This window comes from Homo sapiens, chromosome 15 (assembly GCF_000001405.40).
Source record: "Homo sapiens chromosome 15, GRCh38.p14 Primary Assembly".
Taxonomy (NCBI): Eukaryota; Metazoa; Chordata; class Mammalia; order Primates; family Hominidae; genus Homo; species Homo sapiens.
This window is the reverse complement of record NC_000015.10, coordinates 37856737-37875039: the sequence shown is the minus strand read 5'-3', so window position 1 is coordinate 37875039 and position 18303 is coordinate 37856737. Positions and strand designations below refer to the sequence as shown.

Below are 18303 nucleotides of genomic sequence, written 5' to 3'. Positions count from 1 at the left end.
AGGGTGGCATCACTTCTCTTTATTAAAACTTTATCCCATAACTTATAGTCTTGAAAAAGCTTCATAGTACTTCTGTGCACTTTTACAGAAAAAAAGAGAAACAAAGCTAAAATGAGATGGTAACATAATATATTTTGTTTATTTCAAAAGTGCTTTAAATTTTGCCTTTATACAAATAAGAAAAAATCTGCTAAAATTAATGCACAGAAAAAGAGCAATTCAGTTACTACAAAGAAGATGATATAAGCAGCCAATATCAAAGGAATTCAGACTCTGGGGCTGGTACATTTTGCTTTTTTTGCCTGAGTCCCTTTCAGGTGAAAATGGAGCACCTATCGTAGAATATGGGATATTTGACTTTATTATGATAATGCTGCAGCCGCTAAAGGAAAGATTCATGGAAACATACCAGTGTGCGCCTTGGTATAATAGAAGTAAAAGACTCCATAGTTACAATATATAATTTAGCCATGCAAATACGGACTTAGGTGTGCAGTGATTTATCCATTTGCAATAGCCTGAAATTTTTTGAGAGGATTTTAAAAGACTTTATTGTCTAAAAATGAATATTTATAATGCTTTAGAGATAGTGGTTACTTACCAGCTAGGCAGTGATGTTTGGGACCAATAAAGAATGACATGAAAAAAACATACTTAGAAAAACTTCCGAGTGGGTTTTGGATAGATTCTGTGAAGATATGTGCCAAATTACTTGAATTGATGGAACAGCTTTTAAAATTTGATACTCATATTTACCTTTGTTTCGTGTGTGTGTGTGAGCGTGTGTGTGTGTGCGTGTGTATACATAAAGCCTATGAAACTATTGAGTTTTATTCAGATATTCTTAATGTCAATTAAAGTACTCATCTATTTATTGTTTATTTTTTATTTCCAGGAAATTTAATATCTTCCTCTTAAGATCATGTGAAAATGTTTTTATATGTTGAAACAGAAACATTGAAATTCATTAAGAACAAAGCTCTGGCATATTAATTTGTCTGCCAGTTCTCAGCCTAGTGTGAATTCATCTGCTTGTAAGACTTGAAAGTAGATATCAAAATAGAAATACTCAGTAATGGTTTCAGTACCATTAACGGAGTTACCTTTTATTAAAAATGCAATGCATAATAATCTTGAGATAGTTATGATATGAATATACTGATTAGTATATTAAAAAACAGTTTTCCCTCCCACATTTTATCCTAAATCCATATGAAGGAGCATTGTTACTTGCAAAGTTTCAAATATTTGACTTATATGCACTTAAAAGACATATTCCCCTTGAAACAACAAGTACAAAATGTCCAAAGACATGGTAAATATATAGTTTCTTAATTGCAAAGCCAAAGTAGATTACACACAGCCTTGCAAAATCTAAGACATCTGCTTTGTTTGAGACAAGAAGAAAGACATCTGGGGGCCTGAATGTTTCCTTGTGACCTGCTCCAGTGTGAGTAACCTTGTAGTTAACTAGGCATTTAGTCAGGTCCCGGAAAGATCATTGCCTGGATTCTGCCTCAGAGGCTGATGGGGACCAAGGCCAAAGCTAAAATGTCATACCCAAAAGATCATTGAAGCCAGGCAGTCGGGGTGGAAATGTCAGAACTGGGGCAGTGTAATAACAGCCGTCAACCATTTATCTCTCAAGCAATCACAAAACTACACATATGAAATAATTGATGGAGCAGAAAAAAATTTAAAACCTAAAAATAAAAATGTCAGCACCAAATCTTCATGAATCTCTTTTTTTTTTTTTTTCTGGACTAATTTGTAATCCTGTTATTGCGTTCAAATATCCTTAAATGCTGGGATTTTTCATCATACAGGAAACCTTTGGTGACTTCATATGGTATCGGTAGAATAAATTCACATTTTAAAAATTTCAATTATGGGCTTCTGCAATTACATTTGACACTGACTTCTCTAACTGCAAAGAAGCCACAATAAAGTAGCTCTTCTGCTGTTGGGTTATATTCCTGGATAATGTTATGTGTGTTCAGTCTAGCACAGAGTAGTTTATTTGCTCAAAGCTGCTTCCTTGATGTTTGGGTTTATTTGCTTGTTCATCGGCCAAAATGAGCGCCCTTCTCCTGGGGTTCCTGTCCCCCGCGTGACTTTGTAACAGAGTCCAGATGCAGCGTGAGGGCTTGTGCTGTTTGACAAACAAAACCAAACCCCAAACTGCCTGTGAGTTGTTGATAAATCTTTCCATTGGAATTATACTTGTCTAAGTGGCAGAGATACAAGATTCACTTCTTATTCAGTATTTGAATGCGTGGAAGGCACAGTTAATTGCTCCCCATAGGCAGGAATTTGGCAGAGAGAAAGCAGCGCGTTTTAATCGGTCTGTCTAGCTGTATTTTAAAGCACCTCTTGCCACAGTGCCTGCATATTCGTGTTGGCATTAATAGAACAAAAATGTGTATTGGACTTGAAAGGTGTTTTGATGGTAGGTAAACACATTTATTTTTCACCTGATTCTGTTTTCTGTACTCACGCTGCCAAAAAGGCAGCTGAGAGAATGGTGCTTGCATGAGGGGGAATTAAAAACTCAGAGTTTCTTTCACAGCACTACCTTTAGAACGAGAATATAGGGTTAATTTAATTAAGTGACAAAACGTCCAATGTTGGAGTTTAGAAAACAGACCCAAGACCAAAGAAGAGAGGATTTTGTTCTTAAAAAAAGGAAAGCAGCTTCAAGTGAACCAAAGGCTTTATTTTAAAAATATTTGATTTCTTGATGAAAAAAGTGATTTTACATGTTTATGAGAAAATCATTTTTTATTAAAAAATACTAACATCACATGGGACTGATTCTTATTGTAGAGAAAAACAGTCTAAGCTGCTGGACTACAAAATGTTGTGAGCACCACAATATCGAAATTCAGTGTTGATTTATGAACAAAATCAAGAATAATTAAATTGGAAAACTTTTATATTCCTTTAGTGTAGCACTTTTTGCTGATCTCTCTTAGATATACCCTAGGAAGAGCTCTTTCACTGTAAAAATGCCTGATATTCAAATATCTTATGTTTGACACATCTTCTATGGTAAATTGTTTCTGCTTTTTTTTTTCCCCAAATATCATCTCACATCAGTATGCTGCATTTTACCTTGAAAACTCCTTCTCATGTTTTTCTCATCTTGAAATAATATGAGCTTTAGAGGCAGGCAAACAGTTATGATACAGGCCCTTCTCTTTACTCATTATAGGCCTTTAGGCATGCTTGACTCTCCTGTACCCAGCCTTTTTCAATGACCAGTGGAAGTAGCAACACCTGCCCTGCCTTGCCACGTGCCTCCCAGGTTGAAACACAATCAGGTCGTTTGGCTTCCATGGAAGGCAACTCTTTTCTCCTTGCCTGAAATGATACAGCGTTTGTTAGTTTGCATCAGTTTTTTAAAATGTCAGTAGCATATAATAGCAGTAAGCAAAGTTTTTTGCTTTGTCAAGAAATTAACAATGTAGCAAAATAAAAATAAGTACTAACAGCCTGCTGTGTGATGAGATGCTGGAAGCGAGTGAAATTGAGGCTGCTGTCTTGACAGTTGAGAGAGCAGACTCTTCAAGAAGGAAGAAAAAAAGAATTTTTTCTATAAATTTAAAGAATTTCTCCCAATTATGTCTCGGTAAGAATACTTTTCTAATGTTTAAGAGCGGTATCCTCTATTACCATGCTCATTATAGCGAAATGTAAGAATGCATGAGTGGTGGGTGTTTTGTTGTGACACCTGAACTATTTGTAAATATTGTTCACAGCTTTCTTAGCATATTTTAGCAAGGCAACATTTCAGCAAAGTATAATTTATTACACATGATATAGATGGTGAGCTTCCCAACCCATTTGCTGTAGACCTGTTTGCACAGAAGAAAGCTGACATTAGGCGTATTAGAGCAAAGTAGAAAATTTCAGTCTATGGGTCTGGAGCCCTGAAGTGGTTGCTTTGCCTTTATAAAACCACCAGTGGGACCAAGAGACTGGCTTTACTTGATGTTGGGGTTCCAAGTAATAAAAATGCTAGCATGGTCAGGGGGAAGACTGTAATTTTTTCTCTATTAATATGCCATGTGTATATGTATGCATGCATGTATGTATTTATGTGTATATGTATATATGTATGTGTGTATGTATGTATTTTTGCCCAGGCAGCTTCCTCTGGCTGTGGTATGCAACCCCAATTCCACTTTGCATGGTATTTTCTTTTTGCATTTTCTACATGAAAAAAATATATACAGCCTTCACCCTGATGGCTCATTTGGCTTTGCTTTATTCTTTTAAATTTTCCTCAAAGGGAGGTAAAGGTCATGGAAAAAGAGTTAGGGTGATTTCTTGTCTTTTCTCTGCCTGCTTTAAGTGACAATGAAAACAAATTTTACTTTAGCTAGGTGTTTTTTTTTTGTTTTTTTTTTTGCTGTCATTTTGGAAGAAAAAAAGAGTTGGAACTATTTTGAAAAGGGGTTTTGTTTTCAGAATACAAGTTAACAGCGAATTATTTGGACAGTAAAGCCTGTTTGTTTTCAGTAAAGGAAGGCTTAGGAAAACTAATCTCTCTCCCCTCCTTTTCTTCTCCTCCTCCTCCTCTTTTTCTCCCTGTACTATGGGGAATTAAGTTAGTTTCACAGGAAAGTCACAGTGATTGAGTGTCTATTATGTTCCAGACACTGGAGTAGTAACTTTACAGTAGCTCTGTGAGGTAAGTGGATTATTCCCATTTTACAGAGTGGGAGACAGAGACTTATAGAGCTAAAATGACTTGTCTGAGAGCACACCGCCAGTGACAGACATGCCAGGTTTTCAACGTAAGGTTGTCTGGCTTCAAAACCATGGTTCTTTTCCCTCTTCCACAATGCCTCTAAAGTAAGGGCAAATTGCAGAGGAGCGGTTCTCAAATAGGGCTGCGAATCAAAATAACCTCCTGCAAAACTTGAAAAAAGTTCAAATGCTTGATTTTCATTCCTTGACAAGCTATGCCTGTGACCGTTAATTCTGGGCATCAGCATCACCTGTGCTGTTTCAAAAAATTCCATGCCAGTTTCCCACCCTAAGTCTACTAAATTAGTTTTCAGGAATGGAAATCAAGTATTTGATAAATAAGACAAAGAATAAGACAATTCTGAAGACAGAAGACATTTGTGTTAAGTTGGCACTAGATTCAGTACCTATTGGTCTTTAGTATAGCTGATAGGCTCTTTCATCTAAGTTTCCATTTGTAATATTTTTGCATCTATTTTTCTGGGACAGATAATCCAGATGGCCACTGATAAATGCTGGTAGAGTGACTGTTAGAATTGTTTTTAGAGCCATTTTGTCTGTCGAGGAGAACAACCACCATAAGCAAAATGGTTGAGGGTGCTTATTTAGTCACCCATCACAGACGTAACTTGGCGATTTCTTCAGCTGAGAGTATTTGTTTAGTTGAGCATCATTCTCAGTGGTTCCAAGAGTCTATACCTGATTCCCAGTGCCATCACTATCAGCCTCAGGAGGCAAAGGTGAGAAAGCCTTATTTGTCTAACTCCAAATTTGCTATTCAGTTTATTAATTTCATATAATAGGAAAATGAACAGTGACCAGAACCTCTCTTTTAACCATCTAGAAGTCTTGTTTATTGCTTTCACCATGCATTACTAAATCATGTGGAGTTTGAGTAGAACTATGTATGCCTTGTTTACCCTTGCTTCTGGGCATTGAACAATCATAAATGAACTTCCATAATGAATTTTCTGGATATAGGCTAAAATACTTTTTTTCTACAGTCTTTCAGTTAGTGGTTCATGCCAATAAATTGACTGTAGTGTGGAAGCTAGCAGAATATGAAAATGTTTGGCTTATGGCTTACTAAAACTGGAAAAATGACACATATTGCTGATTTCATTTACCTTAGTGCACCTCCCAAGTCTCAAAGATCTATTTGCGGGCATTTTGCCATCATGAATATAACTGATCTCATGAGGATTACTCAAACAGCAACTCAGGAAAACATCTTTAGAGAAATCTGATCTTAACCTCAAAGTGTATTTACCAAGCAATATTGAAATTAAACTAAAATGGAAGGATACTTTAAAAATCAATAGCTCAGTGGTGCCATTCATAGTCTGATACCGGTATTTGCTGTCTTATTAAATAAGTTTGCTATTTTATAAAGTATTCCTGGCATTTTCAGACAACATGCCTGTGCATAACATCTGCACATATCTTAGTTAAAAACACTATCCAATGAGGTTTTACAATGAAAATGTTCCATCCTACTCTTTACATGCCTTTTCTGGCACCTCATCCCCTACTTCCCCAGAAACAAAGGCATACAATGCTGAAGCAGCTGAGGCATATCTATTCTGTAACAGAGAAGTGAGTGATTTTGCATGACTGTCCTTAATGGTACCAGCACGGATCTCTGCCTGGCTGAACCCAGCAAAGGCTTGGTAATTCATGGGTGACTTCCATTCTCTCCTGCTGTCTAAGTGAAAACTTACATTGAAAAAGGCCCTCAGTTTATATATAAAGTATAAGCAGCAAAGGTGTGCTGTCTTAATTTTCAGTCTAACCCTCAAGACATCCTCCATGGCATCAGTTTTAAAGCAGAAACCAAAACTACATTTTCCTATTCAATAATAAGCTATGGAAGTTGCATGGGGTCGAGTCTCTAGGAAATCCCCTCTTTCTTTGAAAAAATGTCATTGGTAAGATAGGAGATTGGCACCACAATGAGCAAAATATAGTGCGGGCTGATACGCATTGTCAGGTAGAATTTGGTTTGAGACACTGACTTTTGTCTGCATGGTGTCTCCGTTCCAAAGAAGATGGAAGATGCAAAATTGCAAGTTTCCAATCTCTGGTTAATGTGGTCTATACAACTGAATAATGTATAAGGAGATGTTCCTTTGATAATGTCACAATTATTCATTGTACAGCCATAAACTCAAATATTCACATTAACAGCTAGGTATTATTTTTCTTCTCTGAAATTAAGTGAGCGGCATCAGTGGTCATAAATGAGAGCATTCATCAAAGGCGGAGCTATGGCAGAGGATTAAGTGAATGCTGATGAAGTGTCCAGATTCCCATAACTTGGAATGGAGCTGCATTCAGCATTCCTTTATTATCCATCTGCCACATAACAAAAAGTCTCCTATATTTAATGCAGGTTTGCCCTAGGCCACGTAATAGGATTAGGAATAATTTCTACAAATTTACAAAAACAAATCACATGGGAAGGCTTAGAATTTGCTAATAATTTCTCCATAGCTGGGAGATCAAAGGGATGTAAGAGTCCCTAGCCAGGCGGTAGTTTGACCCTGGCCAGGCTTTTTTAATGAAAGGGTTAATCTTCTCCGAGGTGACCATAGAGGAGCAAATAGTGTGACCAAAGGCAGATTCAGGCCTCCAAAAAACAAGGAAGAAAATAGTCTGAAAAGTACAACAGCAAGAAAACATTTACAGAATCACGCGACGTTTTCTGGTTTAGATAAAATAAAACTGCAGAACCTCATTGAAAGGGGCAAGACAAAGGACTAGAGCTGGCTGAGAAACAAACCCAGGAAAGATCAAAACGCCCCACCATTGCCTTGAGGAATAAAAGAAATTAGGCTGCTTGCTTGTCCTTTTAAAGGTTTTCCCATCGTGGTCAGGTAAGGGCCGCCATCCATCTCTTAGCCCACTCACACTGTTCCTGTTGAACTTTGGGAGGCAGCCCACCTGGCAGGGGTCTGCTACATGCCATTTCAAGTGCACCACTTTATAAATAGGAAGATTGGGATAGAAAATCATGAATTCTTACATGGACTTTCTCCAATCTTAAAGGGAAATGGAGGTGAACAAAGGCATATTAAAAATAATGAAGGCAGCTGGGACTAATGGCATTGCTCCTGTGTCTTTCAAGATCTTTATTACTAATTCAGATAAGTGGAAACCCGTAGCCCAAATCTGCTATCCCGCCTTTTCTTCCAAGTGGCTGTAATAACGAAGCCAGGGCTCACACATATCAAGGGCCCCACCAGTCCTTTTTCCTAGCAATGGTTATGGGATCCCATTGCCAGCCTGCATGATTTGTTCTCAAGACATCCTGAACACAATGCTGGGCTTCTCCTTTACCTATTGTGCTACTCAGCAAATGGAGGGGTTAAATATAGAATCTGTCTAGTGCATGAGACATGCTGGATACTTTTAATATAGTCTTGCTGAGAGTCCACTTAGCCTTTGTTGGAGGTGAGAGGCTTCCTATTACTAAGCCTCACCACCTGAGTGTGGATCCAGCCAGAGGGAAATAAAAGTTGCCTGTCTTTTCAATTTTATTACCTGTTGGTCTGTTAAGACTAAGGTTGAAGTTGGAGGTGAAGGTCCTTCTTGGAAAACTCACTAAAAGAAATCAGCTTGGGAGAAAAGGAAGGAGTCTGAGAAAAAGAATGGTCTCAGTAGTCAAAACAATGGTCTCGAAGTAATTTTTTTTTTCAGAGTTACACCTTTCTTTTGACTTCTATCTAGTAAGAAGCAGGCTGATGGGCTTCTTTCTGGGAAGAGTTCAGAAGAAATCAACTCCTTTCCCCCAGTGCCCTCTGATCATCTCACTCCTTTCCCCAGAATTAAGGGAAAACTGATCATGAATTGTTCCAGGGCCCTGGGGGCGTTGGTGGAAGATAGATGCCAAGATAGACTTCTGAAACCTCAATATCCTGCTTGCCAATTCCATGCATGCTAAATTTCTTAGTATCAACAGTGTGGAAGAATGGATGGTTCTTCTGGCAGAAACAGTAGACCTGAGACAAAACATATAGACTATCTTGGTACTCAATGGCTTACTGACTTATGTATGTAGGAGGTCCTAAGTTCACCAGGTCTTGTCATTTTCATCTTCTCTCTCTCAAATTTATCTTTTCCCTGCTATTCTCACTGCCGCAGTTCAGACACTGAGAATTTCCAATCTGGTCCTTACTTCACACTTTCACAGCATCCAACTGCAAGTATGGTCCAATATATTTATACTGAACTGAATTCAGTTCCTCAATAAATGATTTTCTTCAACATTTTTATGATTTCACTCATTCTATCCTTCCATTCAAAATGTTTTCCTTCTTGTTCACATGGTAAAAACTTCAAACCTCAAATGTGAGTTTCTCCATGAAGTGATTTCAGTCAGGAATACAACTAGTCAGCATTAAAGTGAAAAGCTACGAAGTCAAATTTAGGTTCATTCATGGTCAGACTGTCTTCTATTTGGTAAGTGCTTTGCCCATCTGTATCAGCTACTGTTCTAAGTGCTATATGTGTATCCACTGATTTAATTCTTACATGAGTCTATGATGGGAAAACATTTATTATTTATGCATGCATTTTAGACAAGGAAACTGATGCTTAGAGAAGTTAGATACTCTGGTTATATCTGGTAATTGGTAGAGTCAGGCTTTGAACCCAGGCCTGCATGTTATGTTAGACTGTTTGTCAGTTCCCCTTATTTTCTGGCTAACTCTTGTACTTAAAGTCTTTGAGATGAGAGGGATCTTGGTGGTAACTGAGTTGTGTAGCTTTTTTTTTTTTTTTTGCTTTCAGATGATTAAACTGAGGCTCTGAGACAGTGAATGACTTAATCTAGGTTACACAGCCAATGGCAGAGCTTGGGTAAGAGAACCCAGGTGCAAGACTGTCCAGAATTCTTTCCCTGAAAGCAAGTATATTTTCCCGCCCCCCTCAACTAGAAATCTCCACCCCTCCCCCAACTAGAAATCCCTGTGCCTCCCCCAAGTAGAAATCCCTGCCTCTCTCTTAACATTAATTTCTGTCACTTCTTTTAATGTACATTAGACAAATCAATTTGTTCAGCAATCTTTAAAAGCCCACCACGATGTTAAATTTCGGCGATGTGAAGATGAATAGAACATAGTTTCTCCCTACCCTTGGAACACTTACTGTCCACAGGGGGCAAGGTGTAGAGACAGAGTTGCAAACCACTAAGAACAGTGCTGTGAATGGAGGTTTGCATCCAGTGTGCTGTGACAGCACAAAGGAGGAAGACATCTCTTCATGATAAAGTCAGGAATCACTTCATGGAGGAACTCACATTTGACATTTGAAGTTCTTACCATGTGAACAAGGAGAAGGAAGACATTTTGAATGGAAGGATAGTGTGTTCAGAATTGGTTGCTTCCAGTAGGTTCTTGGTCTCACTGACTTCAAGAATGATGCCACGGACCCTCACAGTGAGTGTTACAGTTCTTAAAGATGGTGTGTCCAGAGTTTTTTCCTTCAGGTGTTCAGATGTGTCCAGAGTTTCTTCCTTCTGGTGAGTTCGTGGTCTTGCTGACTTCAGGAGTAAAGCCTCAGACCTTTGCAGTGAGTGTTACAGCTCTTAAAGGCAGTGTGGACCCAAAGAGTGAGCAGCAGCAAGATTTACTGTGAAGAGTGAAAGAACAAAGCTTCCACAGCACGGAAGGGGACCCAAGCAGGTTGTCGCTGCTGGCTCCTGTGGCCAGCTTTCATTCCCTTATTTTGGCCAGCTTTTATTCCCTTATTTTGCCCCACCCACGTCCTGCTGATTGGTCCATTTTACACAGCACTGATTGGTCCATTTTACAGAGTGCTGATTGGTGCATTTATAAACCTTTAGAAAGACACAGAGTGCTGATTGGTGCCTTTTTACAGAGTGCGGATTGGTGTGTTCACAAACCTTTAGCTAGACACAGAGCGCTGATTGGTGTGTTTTTACAGAGTGCTGATTGGTGCATTTACAAACCTTTAGCTAGACACAGAGCGCTGATTGGTGTGTTTTTACAGAGTGCTGATTGGTGCGTTTACAAACCTTTAGCTAGACACAGAGCGTTGATTGGTGCATTTTTACAGAGTGCTGATTGGTGCGTTTACAAACCTTTAGCTAGACACAGAGTGCTGATTGGTGTGTTTATGATCCTTTGGCTAGACAGAAAAGTTCTCCAAGTCCCCACCCTACCCAGAAGCCCAGCTGGCTTCAACTCTCAATAGAATGCATGAAATCATAAAACTATTCAAGAAAATGATGCACTGAGGAACTGAATTCAGCTCGGTATAAATATATTGGACCATACTTGCAGTTGAATGCTGTGAAAGCATGAAGTAGGGGCCAGGTAGGAAATTCTGACTGAACTGCAGCAGTAAGAATAGTGGGGAGAAGACAAATTTGAGAGAGAGATGATGAGAATGACAGGACCAGGTGACATGGGAGAAGACAAAGAGGGCTTCCTACATTTCTTTCTTGGGTGGCTAGGTAGATTTAAACCGAAATGAGAAATATGTTGTAGCAGAGTAAATTGATAAGGTAATTATATTTTGAGTGTCTGTTAGACACCCAGGTGCATCTGTCTAACTGACTGTGGGAAATAAGGGTCTGGAGCTCCAGGGATGCAACTGAGTGGAGAAGATGAAGATGTGAGTACATTGATGGTAAGGGAAACTTTGAAATAGAGATCTTTTGAAGAAGAGTGTATAGAATGATAAGACAGGGATGATAAGAATGCTTCAGGGTTGGACAGTATACCAGAAGCCTGAAAACAAACCAGAGATAGAGGGCGTTTACAGAGAAGCAAGAAAATAACCCAAAGAGAAAGACTTATGACGTAGAAGGAACAAAAGGAAGGGTGTTAATAAGAGTGTTGTCAGTGGTGTTGCTCAGAGGTCAGAAAAATTAAGGACTGAAAAGTAGCCATTAGGTATACCAACTATTAAGAATGGGGATTGGAATACGAACAATTTTAGAAGTCTGTTTGTAGGAGCTGCATAAGTGAATGAATGCTTAAGAGGAAAAATAGAGAACAAAATTAGAAAATGAAAGGAAGGCCAGAGATAAGGAATTGAGGTCCATTAGGCCCTCTGTAGGCCAAGGGGAAGGAGCTGGAAAAGGGGGCAAGGCTGGAGACAATGAAGCAAAATCCCGGGGTTAGGAAGAGTTGGAATCAAGGGCACTTGTGGTCAGGCTGGCTTAGTAACAACTCAGCCTCGTTGGACATGTGAATAGCACAACATCTTTTCCTCAAACTGTCTTTCTTTGTAGCCCATGATTTATCTGAAGATGTGTGGAGCTTCCTGGAAGGGACCTGGGGGGGACCGGAATTGTAGAGTCTGGTGATAAAATGGGGAAGGGAGTATTTGGAAGTCTTATTACAGGGGACATACTTTCTGATGGTAGAAGGTAGGGATGAGGAGAGGGGCTGAATGGAAGTCATATTTTAGGGGAAAGGTGAGAGAAAAGAAAACGCTACCTGCCCATAATGGAAGATGGAATCTGGCAAAGGAAGGCTAACTCAGTGGCAGGTCCTCAGGGCTAAATGCAATCTTGGGAATGATGTTGCAGCTCTCATGGAATTTCTGTAACCCAAGGATGAAAGAGGCGTGCCTGCTCATTGAAATATCCCTTTCTCAAAATACCAGAATATTTTGGACTAAGCCACTTAGCCCCCTTGTGGAGCTATCCATATATAGGTCTAGGGAAGTTGTCTTCATTCTCCCTCCTTTTTAACTAGCACAAAAGGTACAGTGGTGCTATTTCTCCTCTGTCCTTTGATAGGCATAGAGTGTACAGTAATTTAGCTTGACGGGTGGCAGTCATAGTTGGACTTCTGGTGGGAATGACAAAGCTTGTCTGAGAGAAAATCTGTCTCACAGAGATCTGAAACCTTCTCTGGGGCTCTGATGACACTCAAAGTCACCATTACACAGAAGCAAGGGGGGAAGGAGGGCTTTTGTTTTGCAAAAGCATCGTTGGCCACTGGGCAGGAGCCCACATAGAGTTTATGGTGGCTGCTTTGGTGGTGACCCTGGCAGCTTTATTGGAGGGGCTGGTGATGCAGTGCCAGCTCTCAGTATTCCAGGCAGGTCTCCAAGTTTGGTTGGCTGGGACCAATTTAAGAAAACACTGAGAGCAAGTATTTATGCTTCTCAAGCGATGGAATGGAGTATTTAAAAGCCACACAGTCCTGAATTCCAATCAAAATTCTTCCAAGTACTGAGGCAAGTTATTGAACTTATTGAATTTGAGAGTGGGACCTGAGTGAATGGAGCTTGGAGATATTGAGATTAGAATATTAATATTAATGGCTACATTTATGTTATAGGTTAGGGGAACTCAGGCATTGCAATTTAATTAAATTGTTTTCCATCATACACTTAGGCGTAGTAAGCAAGTTTACTCAAAGTTAAAAAGAGAGGAGCAACAGTTAATTCCATCAGAATGCTGCTGAAGCTGGACGTGGTGGCTCACGCCTGTAATCCCAGCACTTTGGGAGGCCGAGTCGGCTGGATCACGAGGTCAGGAAATTGAGACCATCCTGGCTAACACGGTGAAACCCTGTCTCTACTAAAAATACAAAAATTAGCTGGGCGTGGTGGCGGGCACCTGTAGTCCTAGCTGCTGGGGAGGCTGAGGCAGGAGAATGGCGTGAACCCGGGAGGCAGAGCTTGCAGTGAGCTGAGATGGCACCACTGCACTCCAGCCTGGATGACAGAGCAAGACTCTGTCTCAAAAAAAAAAAAAAAAAAAATGCTGCTGAGCTTTCAAAGCAAAATGATTCCTAATCTGTACACTCAATCTGTAGCATATCTTGTTCAGACACTTACTCTTCCCCAGTTTCTTCTTACCCCAATTTTATTCTGTCTTCAGGCAGTTATTTGTCATTCTAAAGGAAGATAACAGATACATCTATCAACTGTTTACTTTGCTACTTATTTCAATTCTACTGAATTCTAAAAATTTCACAGAGGTCCAGATACACTGACTCATGCCTGTAATCCCAGCACTTTGGGAGATAAGGTGGGAGGACTACTTGAGCCTGGGAGTTGAGACTACGCTGGGCAGCATAGTGAGATCCCATCTTTACAAAAAAATAAAAAAATAAGCTGGATGTGGTGGTGCCAACCTGTAGTTCCAGCAACTTGGAGGCTGAGGGCTGAGGTGGGAGGATTGTTTGAGTCCAGGAGGTCAAGTTTACAGTGTACTGTGATTGTGTCACTGCATTCTGGTCTGGGTGACGGAGTGACACTTTGTCTCAAAGAAAAAAAAATCACAGAGGTAGAAGAGACAGCTGTCTTGGCTGATTCACAGCTGTCATTGTGGTTATCAAAGTGTGTTTTTTGGAACAGCTTCTCATTGGATGTTAATGTATCACATACAATAAGGATAGTTATTTCATAGTTTGGGAAAGCCTGACTAATCATGTTTCATTTCTATAGTAATATAGCTTCCCCAAGACTGACTATGCTAACATGCATTTGGATCTTTCAAACTTATTTGACCCTGTAAAATATGAAAATGTGAAAGACATACTTTCCTTCAGAATTGTTGCAGAAATTGTGTATCATGGATCAAACTTTGGGAAATTGTTTCCAGGAAAATGTGGGGCAGCTTGGACTTTTGGGACCTGAGATATTGAAGTGGAAAGAGTCCTGTAGAATCTTCTAGAGTGAGAAAAGAAAAAGATTGAGACATTTTTAGGAACTAGCTTTTGGTGTTTCATGCTTTCTAATATGATTCCAATTGATTCCATTTGCACTTTAATCAGAACCAGGAAAATTGGAATGTGGGAATTCCAGTAACTCCCAGGCAAAATTCCTCATGTTATTCCTCTATGAGTGGTAGGGCAATACAGTACTGTGTAGTTTTTATACCAAAGACTGACTGGCTGTGTGTTTTTCTTAAACGAATGCCAGCAATTTCTGGCAATGGCAAATGCTATAGCAAATACTCCAAACAATGATCAGTGCAAGGGATATGATATATTTTATCAAAATATCTAAAATAAGTCATAAAGTGTTGTTTGGAGATATTTTTACAAGGACTTTTGTCTTCTGCACATTCCAAATCTTTCAGGTGTTCTGAATGATTATCCTTTAGCCTAGGCATGATGGGAATTCTCTTCTTCAGAGCACACTTTCATTCACTATTCCAGTTACACTAGATAGCCCATGTGAAAACTTACCCAATTAGTGATTCTTAACCAGGGGTAGGTAAGCATACACAATTCTACACAGCTATGTACAAATATATGACACTTGCCCCATACGCACAGATTCTGATTCAGTAAGATTTAAGAGGGCCTCCTAAGTTTGTGTTTTTGCAGTGACCCCTGGGTGATTCTAATGTACACCTTGAGCCGAGAACCCTTGGGATGGATATAATGAAAATAGCAGAAATAGACTATTTTTCATTTATGAAACAACATGGTATGCTAGACCTCACACAGTTCTCATTGATGATAGTGAAAAATGTGCATTTTAAAGTAAAAATGATGATCAGACATCTTTATTTGTATCTGTGTCTCATATTCTAAATCCTTTGGAGGCAAATTTGGTAAAGTGGCAAAGTGAGAAGAACAGGCAAGATGCTGATTCACCTGCCTGTAGGTTGTATGTATAAAACTCCCTTTATTGAGGCAACTTCTGCGAGTGTGGCTTATAGGTACTTTTGATTTAGGGAAATATGATATTTCAGGGTAAGGCAAATAAGGAACACTAGACTCTCTGGGGAAAGCTATATCAAGAGAGGTGATAATGAGAGGAAAGTAATGGAGCTGAGCATTCATATCTTGGTTTGATATTCACATCAGCTCATTCTACTCAGATCATTGGTACAACCACCAGTGATAATATTTTGGATTTGCAAATAACAGAGAACCTTAAGCCACCCAAATGTTCCCAAGGGGACATTGCTTAAAAAATGACAGTGAGAAAATGGGATGTTTGTCAAATTAGAGTACCAAATTCTATCATCCTTTGGTGGGGGTAGGAGGAAATCCTGGTTAACAAAGTGTTACAACATCTCTGAATCTCCTAAATAAGCTTTCTAGGATGCAATGATGAAATGATAGCTTATTCTGCAGAGAGGAAGATCCAATTATCTTCATAGTAACAATTCTACCTTCTTCTGTTTTTCTGATCTGCTAGCAAGCTAAGAGAATAGCTTTTGAGAGAAAAAGTTGAAATTTCATTAATGGCTGATGGAATGGCTGAGATAATAATCTATCTACAACATCTGTCACCCTCCTTATCTCTTGGGTGGATTCAGACCTGCCCTAGAATGAGAGGAGAAGGTGGACCCTATATAGCTTAGAGCATGGGTTTCCTTTGAGTATCCTTGGCTTAAAAGCTAATATCCTCAATCACACAGCACCTTTGAGAACCTTGGATTCCAGTATTGTTTCTCTCAAGAACTAACCACCTTAATCCCCATTTGTTAATCCTTCAGGGGAAGTGTGCATGATTTTATTATATTTTGTTCATGATTATATGTATATTCAAACCATAGGGGAAATGAATGACATTATCTATTAATCTGTTTTATTTAAAAAGAATCATTTGCCTAAATTTCTCTAAGCAGGACCTGACTGGAATCTCACATCACTACCCCCACCCCCAAATACGCAACTCAAATGTTACAACATAATTGAAATTAGATTAAAAAATTAAATGACATTTTGCGAACTGTTTAAAAGGGTCAGCAATGTGTTTGAGCACTATGAGATTAACCTTTGCTCATTTGGGAAAATGCAGACTTCAATAGGGATTCTGTGGCTGAGGTTGCACTTGCTAAAAGTTTAAAACAGTAATTTTTTCCTAAGAAAGGTCATCTTGAGCTAAAATGTCAAATAAATTATTTAGATTACTGAATTAGAAAAGTGAGGATCTGACAGGCTGAATTTTTTATGCACATTAGCCACAGCCAGGGTCTTTCTATGCTCTTTTTATTAGGTAAAGTGCACCCCCTTGCCTCTTATTAAAAATCTCTCCATTTAGTCCAATACACTTCCTTTGATAGATGACTGCTGCTTTTGAGCATCCACATCCATGAGGCTGCTGAATTCATATGGCTTGTGTCCATTTTGCATTCCTCCTATTACAGATTCTAGCAAAGAGACACACGAGTCACAGAGAAAAGAACATATACATAAGCACACACATGAGCACACACACCAACCATAAATGTTTGTATGTATGCACACAAATACATAATGATATCTCCTCAAGCATGTACACAAACATGTATAATGTATATATATATTCTTTAAGCAAGATAACATTTGACTTCAGAAAAATAAAAATGCTCTTCGAAGATAATATACGCTCCTTGACTTACGATGGGATTACATCCCGGAAAGTCCGTGGTATGTTGAAAACATTTTAAGTAGAAAATGCATTTAATAACCCCAAAAACTCATCTTAAAGTTGAAAAATCTAACCTGAACCACTGTAATTCTGAAATGTGTTTTTAATAGACAATGACTAATATCAGATTGTTCCCACTTAGGAAATAATACCAAAAATGTAAATGGCTTTGTGACCATGTGACTGAAGGAATTCTCCTGGATGCAAAAGTACTCTTTGAAGGAACCTCTAGGTGCCACTGCCATCTTGTGTATATGGCAGTTTTCTGGTTAGCGCTTCTTTTATAGAGCACTGTGAGCCTTTTAAAATATTTTTTTATTGTAGGTAGGTGATGCTGGTACTAGTTCTACTTTACACATAAGAATTTGAGTTATAGAGCTGTCAAAATTGTTGATAAGGCTTGGTTACTATCACATTTTCACATGTGAGTCCTAATATTGGCTCCTGGCTCCTTCTCCACCAGAATATCTATGTCAAATCTGTGGTTTCTTAAGCAGATAAGTTCTTTTGAAAGTTTAGTTGAATGTTTTGGTGCCTATAGGTGGAAATGTACCTGGTATTCCCAAGTGTCTTCATACTTTATACATAAAATACAGAGTATTCTCTATTTTTGTGAGCTTTTTGCTTATACTTCTTATGTTTCTGGCATATATATATATATATATATATATATTTTTTTTTTTTTTAATTCCCCTTTTTAGAAAACTTTATTCTCTAGAATAGTTATTTTTCCAAGCTGCTTTTTCATATCTATCTCAAGAAATTCTCTTTACTTGGCTAAGAATCCTAAGGCTTGTACAATCCTGGGGTAGAGTTGAGATTAGAATTCAAAATTTAGAGATTCTTGTTTCTACATCTGCGGTTGAATTACATTCATTTCTTTTCCTCCTCCTCCATCTATACTTTTCATCTCCCCTTCCCCATTTTTCCTTTATTTCCTCTTCTTCTTTGGCTGTCTATAGACCTTTTGCTTATTTGGATAATGTTTGTGCCCTGTATTTCCCGGCCTCCTTGGAGTTGGGCAGAGTTTATGACTATTTCTGGCTACTGGAATGTGGATAGAAAGGAAGTATGTCACTTCCGGGTTAAAGACCTGAGAAGCCCTCCTGCACCCCTCTAGCTGCTTCTTCTATTACCATGGCAATTGAAGAGGGGCCTTAGCAGTGATGATAGGACTAAAACTTT

The 18303-nt window shown here is 38.8% G+C and overlaps 2 annotated features.

Moving 5' to 3' along the window:
- Positions 6234-7734: an enhancer, noted in NCBI's record as "VISTA enhancer hs830". NCBI's record gives its function as "enhancer in: midbrain (mesencephalon)[5/5]" and the evidence as "EXISTENCE:transgenic organism evidence [ECO:0001131][PMID:17130149]".
- Positions 9854-11053: an enhancer, noted in NCBI's record as "BRD4-independent group 4 enhancer chr15:38156188-38157387 (GRCh37/hg19 assembly coordinates)". NCBI's record gives its function as "activates an origin of replication core promoter dependent on BRD2, P300/CBP, MED14 and CDK7 cofactors, and independent of BRD4, by STARR-seq in HCT116 cells {active_cell/tissue: HCT116}" and the evidence as "EXISTENCE:reporter gene assay evidence [ECO:0000049][PMID:35650434]".